The sequence below is a fragment of the Homo sapiens genome, chromosome 17 (genome assembly GCF_000001405.40).
Source record: "Homo sapiens chromosome 17, GRCh38.p14 Primary Assembly".
Classification (NCBI taxonomy): Eukaryota; Metazoa; Chordata; class Mammalia; order Primates; family Hominidae; genus Homo; species Homo sapiens.
Genome location: NC_000017.11, coordinates 19,784,818 through 19,798,046, shown reverse-complemented (window position 1 = coordinate 19,798,046; position 13,229 = coordinate 19,784,818). Strand labels below are relative to the sequence as shown.

Genomic DNA, 13,229 nt, shown 5'->3' with positions numbered 1-13,229 from the left:
GAGTAACAATCATCCTGTTCAATGTAGGTTTTTGTTGTATTCATTAACTTTAATCATTAACGATATTGTTCTCTTTGGTGCTAGTCAGACCTTGCATTAATCTGAGTTATTTGCTATCTACTGATTAAAAACAGCTAATAACCTGTAATCATTAAATTCTGTCTCCTGAGAATACGAACAATGGACTTGTTTTGCAAAGGATGACAGAAAAATAGTCTCTTGCCAAGTAAATCACTTTTAGAATGTCTTATGAAAAATAAGATATTTATCAGAATTCTCATTTTAAAAATTGTCTTCTTAATTTTTACATTTTTGCACTGCACTTCTTCACTTCAGGTTAATGTTACATTTGTTTTCTTGTTAGGTTCTCCAGTGCCACAAGCTCAGTCCCCACAGTCTCTCTTATCGGGTGCTAGACTGCAGAGCGCCCCCACCCTCACTGACATCTATCAGAACAAGCAGAAGCTCAGAAAACAGCACTCTGACCCCGTGTGCCCATCCCATACTGGGGCTGGGTACAGCTACTCGCCTCAGCCCAGTCGGCCTGGCAGCCTTGGAACTTCTCCCACCAAGCACTTGGGGTCCTCTCCACGGAGTTCTGACTGGTTCTTTAAAACTCCTTTGCCAACAATCATTGGCTCTCCTACTAAGGTTTGTTTATTAAACCCTTTTGTAGGTCAGGAACTGGTATAGTACTTTATGGAAAGGATTCATTATGAGAATAGCTATAATTTTTTTATTTTATTTTTTGAGACAGAGTCTTGCTTTGTCGCCCAGGCTGGAGTGCAGTGGCACAACCTCAGCTCATCACAACCTCCACCTCCCAGGTTCAAACAATTCTGGTACCTCAGCCTCCCGAGTAGCTGAGATTACAGGCATGTGCCACCATGCCCAGCTAATTTTTTTTGTATTTTTAGTAGAGATGGGATTTCACCATGTTGGCCAGGCTGGTCTTTAACTCCTGGCCTCAAGTGATCTGCCTGCCTCAGTCTCCCAAAATGCTAGAATTACAGGTATGAGCCACTGCTCCTGGACAATAATAGCTATAATATAATGAGCACTTTCTGTGTACCAGATGCAGCGTAAGTACTTTATTTGCAGAATGCTTTTTGTGTATGATCCCATTTAATCCTGAAAAAAGGAAATTGAGGCTTAGAGAGTTTAAATTAATTGTGCAAGGTCACACAAGCTGTAAATAGAGCTGCCAGTGGGTTTGACTGACTCCAGAGTCTATACTCCTGCCAGGTCTCACCCGCAGACCCTGACCAAGTAATGGATGAAAAAATGCACTCCAACACAGACATCCAGTGAAGGAGCGGGCTAGGGGACCGGGCCGTTCACAGAAAGAGTTGTAGCAGCCACAGCCCTGACATGCTGGTGCTGCAGGCATTTATTTAGTACAGATTTAATGACAAAGGCCTTGAGTCAACATACTTGTAAGTAATTGTGCATGGATGATTAAAGGCCAGGTTCCAAGGCCTAAGTAAACTAACTTATCTAGATCAGTTTTTTTACATCCCCTTGTTATCTAACCTAAGCTTTCAGGAACCAGATAAGAGAATCTGGTTGCCTTCAGCCAAATCCTAACTTTTGTAAAACCTCCCGGCCTTCCAAGAAGGTTTGCATCTTTCTACAATTTTTCCCACCACCCGACCTATCTCCTACATGCTCCTGACTACTGGGTCACACAAACCTGCCAGTACTGAATAGTTCATGCATCGTATTAACTAGTTTACATATATATATATATATATGTCTCTTTAGACCACAGCTCCTTTCAAAATCCCTAAAACTCAAGCATCTTCCAACCTGTTAGCCTTGGTTACTCGTCATGGGCCTGCTGAAGAACAGTCGAAAGATGGGAATGAGCCACGGGAATGTGCCCATTGCCTCTTAGTGCAAGGAAGTGAGAGGCAGCGGGCCGAGCAGCAGAGCAAGGCAGTGTTTGGCAGGTAAAAGACTGTTTCCATTCTAGCATTAAACATGAAAACTGTAATAGTAAAACATAGATTTCTGTTATAAAAGCAGCAAGACTACATTAGTGTAGCGGGTGATTTATGCCATATGGTTATTGATATGTACCACGTACATTTAGAATCTCTGAAAACCACAGATGCTTCCTGTAACTATGTAAGTACATAGTTCTTCCTGAACTTTTTGAATATTCTATTTCTGTCCTTTATTTGTATTATTGAAGTTTATCTCTACCCTGAATTGTTTGGTATCTATTTCTTGTTTCCTCATTCTCTAACTTCCTATTAACCCTTCTAGTTTTAAAAAGTATACTTTTCCTTTATTAAAAACATCACTATTCTTTTTAGATCTGTCAGTACCGGGAAGTTATCAGATCAACAAGGAAAGACTCCTATATGTCGACATCAGGGCAGCACAGACAGTTTAAATACAGAACGACCAATGGATATAGGTAAGAAAAATGTAGTTTCTTTTTAGGCAGGTAATTTGCTAGCATATGCATTTGTTTCTTACTGCTGTTGTAACAAATCATCACATGCTTGGTGGCATAAAACAACACAAATGTATTATTTCATAGTTCTGGATGCCATCCCTATCCTCTCATCTTCCTTCTCAGTAGCCCATTCAGAATAGGACCTTATTCAGTATCTTGATGAGCAGCAGCCTGTGCGTTACTAATGGAAGGAGTTCTGACGAAGATTTTTTTTTTTTTTTTTTTTTTTTTTATCAGTAGGGTAATACTGGTCGAAGTTGGCCTAAACCTACATGTACTCCTGAGCATTTACTTTACAGCAACTGGATTTTATAAAGACCCATAGGTCACTGAGACCCCTGAACCTTTCGGAGTTGCTCCAGAGACTGTATGTTCATGACCACCCATGTATATCTAGATTACTTGGCCTGTGTGTCAAAAAACAAAAACAAAATGGAGATTCTAGACTGTAATTCCGTATTCCAGACTTGCTTGCTTAAATTTTCTGGGTTTTTTTTTTGGGAGATGAAGTCTCGCTCAGTCGCCCAGGTTGGAGGGCAGTGGCGCAATCTTGGCTCACTGCAAGCTCCGCCTCCCGGGTTCACACCATTCTCCTGCCTCAGCCTCCCAAGTAGTTGGGACTATAGGCGCCCGCCACTACGCCTGGCTAATTTTTTTGTATTTTTAGTAGAGACAGGGTTTCACCATGTTAGCCAGGATGGTCTCGATCTCCTGACCTCGTGATCCACCCATCTCAGCCTCCCAAAGTGTTCTGGGGGTTTTTAGGAATCAACATGTGTAATACACTCCCAGGTGATTATTGTGGACACCCAGATTTGAGAATCACTATTGTAATCTCCTTGTTTTTTTTTTTTTTCTCTATGACTTTTTAATTTTCCCCATGAGCATCCAAAGGAGGAAATATCTGAGCCAGCATCGTTTCTTTCTAATCCAAAGAGAATACTGTAGGATTTAATATTTCACTGTACTATCTTCTTCCCTGCATAGTTTCTAAAGAGAAGTCTGATGTAATTCTTACCCTTGTTCTCTGTAGGTGAGGTGTGTTTTTGTCCTTGGCTTCTTTCAAAATTTTCTCTGTCTTTGATTCTCCGAAGTTTGAATATGATATGCTTAGGTGCAGATTTTTTCATATTCATTCTGCTTGGTGTTTTCTGTTTCCTAGGTCCGTGGTTTTGTTCTGTCATTAATTTTGGAAGTTTTTCAGCCATTACTGCTTTGAATGTTTCTTCTGCTTCTCTCTCTCATTCTTCTGGTATTCCCGTTAAGTATATGTTCTACTCTTATAGTTGGCTCATTGTTCTTAAAAGTCTCATGCTCTACTGACTGAGCTAGCTGGGCACTGGCTCCATTGTTCTTAGTCTGTTCTTTTTTTCTTCTTCTTCTTCTTTCATTCTTATTTCTCTTTGCTTTTTAGTTCAGGAAGTTTCAGGAAGATATTCACATATCTTCAATCTCACTGATTCTTTCCTTGGCAAAGTCCAGTCTACTGATGAGTCCATCAAAGGCATTCTTTGTTTCTGTTACTGTGATTTTGATTTTTAGCATTTCCTTTTGACTCTGAGTTTCCATCTCTCTGTCTGTATTACCTATCTGTTCTTGCATGTTGTCCACTTTTTCCATTAGAGCCCTTAGTATATTAATTATCATTACTTTAAATTCCCAGTGTGGTATTAAACAATTCCAGTATCTCTGCCATATGTGAGTCTGGTTCTGATGTTTGATTTGCTCTCTCTTTTCAAACTGTACTTTTGCCTTTTAGCATGCCTTTTAATTGAGGCTGGGTATGATGTACTTTGTTTAAAAACTGAGTTAAATAGGCCTTTAGTGTGAGGTTTTTTGTTTATCTGGCCAGGAGTTAAGCTTTATTTAGTGTTTGCTGTAGCTGTAGGTATCAGAGGCTAAAATTTTCTCTGGTATCCTTGTTTTTGTCTCTCCGGTTGTCTTTGGGTTTCCCTATACACTCCTTCTTAAATTGCATCTGGACCTTGCCTAACTCTGTATTTTCTTCCAAGAGTTTTATAATTCTAATTTTAAAAGTGTAAGATGTAGCTCTTATGCTTATGTCTGTGGTCCAGTTTGACTTAATTCATATGGATGATGTGGTGAAGGGATCCAGCTTTATTCTTTTGGATGGGCTATTCAGTGGTCGCAGCACCATTGAAGACTATTCTTTCCCTGTTGTGTTGTTTTGCTAGCCTTGTCAAAACTCGGTTGACCATTGATAGGGTTAGGTTTTGTGTCCCCACCCAAATCTCATCTTGAATTGTAATTCCCATAATTTCCATGTGTCAGGGGAGAGCCAGGTGGAGGTAATTGAATCATGGGGGCAGTTTCCCCCATGATGTTCTCATGATAGTGAGTTCTCACGAGATATGATGGTTTTATAAGGGGCTCTTCCCCGCTTTGCTTGGCATTTCTCCTTCCTGCTGCCTTGTCAAGAAAGTGCCTTGCTTCCCCTTTGCCTTCCACTGTAATCGTAAGTTTCCTGAGGCCTTCCCAGCCATTCTTAACTGTGAGTCAATTAAACCTCTTTCCTTTATAAATTTCCCAGTCTCGGGCAGTTATTTATAGCAGTATGAAAATGAACTAATACAACTATAAATATGTTTATTTCTGGACTCTTAACTATTTCACTGATCTATATGTCAATTTATGCTGGTACCATACTGCCTTGATTACTGTAGCTTTGTCTTAAGTTTTGAAATCAGGAAATACGAGTTTTTCTTTTTTGTTCTTTTTCAAGACTGTTTTGGTTATTAGGGGTGCCTTGAGTTTCCATATGAATTTTTGCATCATCTTGTCAGTTTCTGTAGAGAGACTGGCTGGGTTTTTTTTTGTTTGTTTTTTTGTGTTTTTTTGAGACGGAGTCTCGCTCTGTCGCCCAGGCTAGAGTGCAGTGGCATCATCTTGGCTCACTGCAAGCTCTGAGAGACTGGCCGGGTTTTTGGTGGAGATTGCATTATTAGATCACCTTAGTGAATATTGAAATCTGTCTTAGTCCATTTTGTGCTGCTATAACAGAACATCTGAGACTGCGTAATTTATGATGAACAGAAATTTACTTTCTTACCATTCTGGAGGCTGAAAGTCCAAGTTCAAGGCACTTGATCTGGTGACAGTCTTGCTGCATCATCACATAATGGAAGGCAGAAGGGCAGAAGAGGGCTTGTCCTTTGACCTCAAGCCCTTTTATAATGGCATTAATCCATTCATGAGGGCTTTTGGGTCTTGTTTCCTCTTTTCTTAGTCTGGTCAAAGGTTTGTCAATTTTATTTATCTTTTCAATAAACTAGCTTTCATTTCCTTGATCTTTTGTATTGTTTTCTTAGTTTCAATTTCATTTATTTGTTCCCTGATTTTTATTATTTCTTTTCTTCTAGTAATTTTAGGTTTCGTTTGCTCTTGCTTTTGTAGTTCTTTAAGATGCATTGTTAGATTATTTGAAGATTTCTTCTTTTTTGATGTGTAGGCACTTTTAGCTATAAATTTCCCTCTTAGTACTGCTTTCACTGTAATCCCATAGGTTTAGTATGTTGTGTTTCCATTATTATTTGTTTCAAGAAATTTTTCAATTTCCTTTCTCCATTGACCCACTGGTCATTCAGGAGCATATTGTTTAATTTCCACGTATTTATATAGTTTCCAAAATACCTCTTATTAATTTCTAGTTTTATTTCATGGTAGTCAGAGAAGAAGCTTGATATTATTTCATTTTTTTTTTTTTTTTTTTTTTTTGTAAACAGGGTGTTGCTGGAGTGCAGTGGCACGATCTTGGTGCACTGCAATCTCCACCTCCCAGGTTCAAGCAATTCTTGTGCCTCAGCCTCCCTCGTTGCTGGGATTACAGGTGTGTACCACCATGCCTGGCTAATTTTTATAATTTTTTTCTTCTTTTTAGACAGAGTTTCGCTCTGTTGCCCAGGCTGGAGTACATTAGTGCAATCTTGGCTCACTGCAACCTCCTCCTCCTGGGTTCAAGTGATTCTCCTGCCTCAGCCTCTTGAGTAGCTGGAACCACAGGTGTGTGCCACCATACCCAGCTAATTTTTGTATTTTTAGTAGAGACGGGGTTTCACCATGTTGGCCAGGCTGGTCTGGAACTCCTGGCCACATGTGATTTGCCTGCCTCGGCCTCCTAGAGTCCTGGGATTATAGGCATGAGCCACTGCACCCACCTAATTTTTGTAATTTTAGTAGAGACAGGGTTTTGCCATGTTGGCTAGGCTGGTCTCGAACTCCTGGCCTCAAGTGATCTGCCCGCCTCAGCCTCCCGAAGTGCTGCAGCTACAGGTGTGAGCCGCTACACCTGGTTGTTGTTGTTGTTTAATGTTTTATGACTTGTTTTGTGACATAACATATGAGAATGATCCATAAGCTGAGAGGAATGTATATTCTGCAGCCATTGGGTGAAACGTTCTGTAAATATCAGTTAGGTCCTATAGTGCAGATTAAGTCTGATGTTTCTTTGTTGATTTTCTGTCTGGATGATCTATCCAAGGGTGAAAGTGGAGCGTTGAAGTTTCCAGCTATTGTATTGGGGTCTATCTCTGTCTTTAGCTCTAACAATATTTGCTTTATATATCTGTATGCTCGTGTAGGGTGCGTATATATCTACAGTTGTCATATCCTCTTGCCGAATTGACCCCTTCGTCATTATATAATGACCTTTGTCCCTTTTTATGGTTTTTGTCTTGAAATCTATCTTGTCTGATGTAAGTATAGCTACTCCTGCTCTTTTTTAGTTTCCATTGTGTGGAGTATCTTTTTCCATCCCTTTATTATCAGTCTACATGTGTCTCTATAGGTGAAGTGTGTTTCTTATAGGCACCAGATAGGTGGGGCTTATTTTTTTAATCCATTCAGCCACTCAGTGTCTTTTAACTCATGGCTGAAGAGTTTAGTTCATTTATATTCAATGTTTGTATTGGTAAGTAAGGACTTAATCCTGCCATTTTGTTATTTGTTTTCTGGTCTTCTTTTTCCTTCCTTCCTTCTTCCCTCCCTCTTTCTTGCTTTTAGTGAAGGTGATTTTCTCTGGTGGTATCACTGATTTTCTTGGTTTCTATTTTTTGTGTATCCAGTGTATGTTTTTTTATTTGAGGTTACCATGAGGCTTGTAAATACTATCCATTGATTCAATTTAATTCAATTTTTTTATTTTTGAGATGGAGTTTCGCTCTTGTCACCCAGGCTGGAGTGCAAGGGCACGATCTTGGCTCACTGTAACCTCTGCTTCCTGGGTTCAAGCGATTATCCTGCCTCAGCTTCCCAAGTAGCTGGGATTACAGGCGCCTGCCACCACACCTGGCAAATTTTTGTATTTTTAGTAGAGACAGTGTTTCACCATGTTGGCCAGGATAGTCTCGAACTCCTGTCCTCAGGTGATTCACCTGTCTTGGCCTCCCAAATTGCTAGGATTACAGGCTTGAGCCACCACTCCCGGCCCTATCCATTATTTTAAAGTGATGACAACACTGATTGCATAAACAAGCAATAAGAAAACTAAAAATACTCTATCTCCTTGCTTCTTAACTTTTTGTTGTTTCTCTTTATATGTTATTGTACTGTCTATGTCTTGAAAAGTTGTAGTTATTATTTTTGATCGGGTCATTGTTTAGTCTTTTCTACTTAAGGCCAATAACCCTTAGTTTTTGTTTTTTTTTTTTTTTGGCAGCTTTTTTTAGATTTGTAGGCTTGCTTCATTCTTTTTCATTTTTTTCTTCTGTTTCCTCTGTATTTTCAGATAGCCTATTTTCAAAGCTCACTAATTCTTTCTTCTGCTTGATCAATTCTGCTATTAAGAGACTCCATTGCATTCTTCAGTGTGTCAATTGCATTTTTCACCTCTGGAATTTTTACTTGATTCTTTTAATTATTTCAGTCTGTGTTAGATTTATCTGATAGAATTCTGAATTTCTTCTCTATATTATCTTGAATTTCCTTGAGTTTCCTCAAAACAGCTATTTTGAATTCTCTGTCTGAAAGGTTATGTATCTGTTTCTCCATGATTGGTCCCTGGTGCCTTATTTAGTTCACTTGGTAAGTTCATGTTTTCCTGGCTGGTCTTGATGTAGATTTTTGTCCGTGTCTGGGCATTGACATGTTAGGTATTTATTGTTGTCTTCACAGCCTGGGCTTTGCAATCTGTACCCGTCCTTCTTGGGGAGACTTTCCAGGTATTTGACGGGACTTGGGCTCCAAGCCCAATAATGCTGTAGTTCTTGCAGACTCATTGACTTGGATAAGATCCAGAAGAATTCTATGGATTACCAGCTAGAGACTTTTGTTCTCTTCCCTAACTTTTTATCAAAAGGTGAACAACTAATGGCGTGTCTCTCTTTCTATGCTGAGCTACTTGGAGGTGGGGGTGGGGTGATGCAAACACCCCTGTGGCCACCACCACTGGAACTGCCTGGGTTAGACCTGAAGCCAGCACAGCCCTGGGTCTTGCCCAAGGCCCTCTTTAATCATTGCTTGGCTACTACCTATGTTCGCTCAAGCCCCAGGACTTACAATCAGCAGGTGGTGAAACCAGCCAGGTTTGTGTCCTTCCTTTCAGGGCAACAAGTACCCCAGGCACCAGGCATGTCCAGAGATGCTATCTAGGAGTCAGGGGTTGGAATAAAAAACCTTAGAAATCTACCTGGTATTGTATCCTACTGCAGCTAAGCTGCCACTCAAACCGCAAGACAAAGTCCTTCCCGGTCTTTCCTGCCCCTTCCACAGGCAGAGGAACCTATCCCTGTGGCTGTAACCACCAATGGCCCACAAGGAGTTCTGCCAGGCCACCACTGATGTTAACTTAAGGCCCAAGGGCTCTTCAGTCAGCATGTGCTGAGTGCTGCTAGGCCTAAGACCCACCCTTCAGGGCAGGTCCAGAAATGTCCAAGAGCCTAGGCCTAGACTTGGGAACCCCAAGAGCCTGCTTGGTGCTCTATCCCACTGTAATCAAGCTGCTACCTGAAGCCAGCATGTCTCAGAGTCTCACCCAAGGCCCAAGCATGCTCCCTGGGTAGTATTATTGGTTATTCAGGGCCCGAGGACTCTTCAGTCAGCAGGTGATGAATCCTGCCAGGACTGGGTCTTTTTTTTCAAGGCCAGTGAGTTCACTTCTGGCTCAGGGTGTGTTTAGAAATGTCAACAGGAACTAGGGCCTGGGATGGGGGTCTCACGACTCTGCCCGGGGCTCGTCCTACTGTGGCTGAGCCTAGTATCCAAGACATAAGAGAAAGCCCTTTTTACCTTTATCTCTTGTCCTCAAGCAGAAGGAAGGAGTCACTTTTGTTGCTGTGAGCTGCGCTGCCTGGGTTTGGGAGGAGGAGTGGCACAAACACTCCCTTAGAAGCCCTGTCTGATGTCTCTCTAAGTCATGCCCCAATCCACTGGCTTTAAGCCCAGCACGGCACCAGGATTTGGCTAGGAATTGCAGTCCTTGTGTCCTAGACTGCCTTTCAAGTTCACTTGGACCCGGAGCGCTTTAGCTTGTGGTGGTGAGGCTTGCAGAAACTCACATTCTGGCCACTCAGACAGGCACTTTCCCTCTAGCTACAGCTGGTCCAAATGCTCCCTCCGTGGGCGGACACCAGCTGAGTTCAGCATGGTTTTCCTTTGCACTGTGACAGGACAGCACTGAGTTCAATGTGCAATCCCCAAATTGCTGCACTCTCCCTCCCCCAAGTACACAGATTATTTCCTTGCCACACACAGCTGCTGCCAGGGGAGGGGCGGAGGGTGGTGCTGGTGATTCAAGACTGCCTTTCCTACCCTCTTCAGTGCCTCTTTCAGTGATATGAAGTTAAAACCAGGTACTGTGATTACTCACCTGATTTTTGGTTCTTATGAAGGTGCTTTATTGTGTGCAAATTTTTGGGAGGTGGGTTGTACAATTGGTGGAGCCTTCTATTTTGCCATCTTACTCTGGTTTGTAATTTTATGTCTTTGAAAAGAAGCTGAGATAAGAAAGCAAGTATGTATTTATAGTTTGTTATATTAACTTTCTTACTTATCATTTCTGGTTATCTTGGTGTGTTTTTGTGGATTTGAGTTACCATCTGGTGTCACTTCCTTACTCTAATATAGTTTTACTCCCATCTGACTCCTTTATGTTCTTATTATCAAATATATTTCTGGCTGGGTGCAGTGGCTCACGCCTGTAATCCCAACACTGTGGAAGGCCGAGGCAGGAGGATCACTTGAGCTCAGGAGTTCCAGGCTGCAGTGAGCTATGGTCACACCAGTGCCCTTCAGCCTGGGTGACAGGTGGAGACCCTGTCTCTAAAAAAATAAAAACTAAGGCTGGGCGCAGTGGCTCACGCCTGTAATCCCAGCAGTTTGAGAGGCCAAGGCGGGCGGATCACAAGGTCAAGAGATCGAGACCATCCTGGCCAACATGATGAAACCCTGTCTCTACTAAAAATACAAAAATTAGCTGGGCGTGGTGGCACGCACCTGTAATCCCAGCTACTCGAGAGGCTGAGGCAGGAGAATCAGGAGGCAGAGGTTGCAGTGAGCTGAGATCGTGCCAATGCACTCCAGCCTGGCGACAGAGTGAGATTCCGTCTCCAAAAAAAAAAAAAGTAAATAAATGAACATTACATTTCTATATGCTATAGACCTGACAGTGCAACTGTATACATGTTTTATACAGTTGCTTTTTAAAATCAGTTAACAGAAGAAATATACAGTTTGTGTTTTGTAATTATCTTTACAGATTGGGATTACTATTTGGAGTTAGTTACTTTTGGTCTGAAGAGCTATCCTTTGTATTTCTTGTAAGACAGGTCTGCTGGCAGTAAATTCTCTCAGCTTCTGTTTATTTGGGAATGTCTTTATTTTGATTTCTTTTCTTTCTTTTTTTTTTTTTTTTGAGACGGAGCCTCACTCTGTCACCCAGGCTGGAGTGCAGTGGCATGATCTCAGCTCACTGCAACCTCTGCCTCCTGGGTTCAAGAGATTCTCCTGACTCAGGCTCTTGAGTAGCTGGGATTACAGGCACGCATCACCATGCCCGGCAAAGTTTTGTATTTTTAGTAGAAACAGGGTTTCACCACGTTGGCCAGGCTGGTCTCGAACTCCTGACCTCAGGTGATCCACCCGCCTTGGCCTCCCAAAGTGCTGGGATTACAGGCATGAGCCACCACACCTACCCTAGTTTAACCTGTTTTTATTCCCAGTTCTTGGCGTTCATTTTTTTAGTACTGTCTTCAACATGTATAACTTACAGTTCATGTATTTTAGAAGTATACAAACATAACTCTGAATGCTAAATTTTGGTGTGAAGAAGATTCACACTTGAGATTACTATAAGTTATTTTAATGAAAATATTGTATTACGTTTTCTGATTTTAAGAGCAATAAGTACTTTTTGTAAGAAGAGGGAAAAAAAAAAAACCACTAGACTCCTGATATAAAAGTCAGTATCCCCCTGCAATCCCATCTCCCAGATATAAACACTATCAGGGTAATATGACCTTCTATAAACTTTTTGTTGTAGCTCCGGCAGGAGCCTGTGGTGGTGTTCTGGCACCTCCTGCAGGTACAGCAGCAAGTTCCAAGGCTGTCCTCTTCACTGTAGGGTCTCCTCCACACAGTGCGGCAGCCCCCACTTGTACCCACATGTTCCTTCGAACAAGAACAACCTCAGGTAAGGAGCATTTGTTATATTACAGTCTTTGGCTAGTATTTGGAATGTAGTGTTTTGACAAATGACTCAGTGTTGTAACTTGGACAAGTCACTTAATTCTCTGGGCTTCAGTTTCTTTACCAGTGAAATGGAGATTACTATTTTCTTTATCTTAATGGGTTATAAGAAGTAAATGAGGCATCATTTGTGGGGAAAAAAACTTTGTAAAGTGCTATATTATATATTAAAATATAAATATATGTTGTATATGTTTTTACAAAATGACATATAGTATAAATATGACTTCTTCGTGAAGAAGCAAATCGTATATGGTTCTTCTCAGCTTATATATTAAAGGGTTACTTTAGTAGATCCAATAAATTATTTGAAAATTATAGGTTTGGTTTTTTTTTGGTTTTTTTTTTTAAAGAAACTTGTTTTGGCTAGGTGAGGTGGCTTATGCCTGTAATCCCAGCACTTACTTTGGGAGGCTGAGGCAGGCAGATCACTTGAGGCCAGGAACTCGAGACCAGCGTGGCCAACATGGTGAAAACCTGTCTTTACTAAAAATACAAAAATTTAGGCAGGTGTGGTGGCAGGTACCTGTAATCCCAGCTACTCAGGAGGCTGAGGCAGGAGAATCACTTGAACCTGGGAAGTGGAGGTTGCAGTGAGCCGAGATTGCGCCATTGCACTCCAGCCTGGGTAACGAGCGAAACTCTGTTTCAGAAAAGAAAGAAACTTGTTTTATTTATTTATTTTTAATTTTTTGTACTTTGGGTCTCAATCTTTGCACTTAATCCTATATACAGTTAGAAGGCTAATAGATTTATCATTTATAATCTGTAAATAGGTTAATACCAAAACTTAAGAAAGTATTTAGATTGGACTTGAAATCAATAATTTGATGTCTTATCTGTTGTATCATGAGTCAAGTTATCTTATTCTAAATAAGTTGCTGATCAAGAGACCAGGTTAATAAGCAAAGGATAGAAATAGATAAGAGAAAATAGATCTAAAATTATGTTTTTAAGACGATTAAAAACCTTGAATAATAAGAAAATACCATTTTACGAAAGTAACATTTTATATCTGTTAACTATACCTATATCTTAAAAAGTACAATGCCCAAGACTGGGC

At 40.9% G+C, this 13,229-nt stretch overlaps 1 protein-coding gene across 5 annotated transcripts in view; it reads left to right on the top strand.

Moving 5' to 3' along the window:
* Positions 1–13,229, top strand: part of ULK2 (unc-51 like autophagy activating kinase 2) — a 97,107-nt gene that overhangs the window by 69,890 nt on the left and 13,988 nt on the right. For 4 of the 5 annotated variants that reach the window (NM_001142610.2, NM_014683.4, XM_017025425.3 and 1 more), the window contains exons 18-21: positions 365–651; positions 1,765–1,952; positions 2,322–2,425; positions 11,961–12,110. In NM_001142610.2, the coding sequence (NP_001136082.1) occupies positions 365–651; positions 1,765–1,952; positions 2,322–2,425; positions 11,961–12,110 (729 nt within the window). The remainder of the gene's footprint in view (positions 1–364; positions 652–1,764; positions 1,953–2,321; positions 2,426–11,960; positions 12,111–13,229) is intronic. The other variant, XM_047437147.1, reaches the window with a different exon arrangement.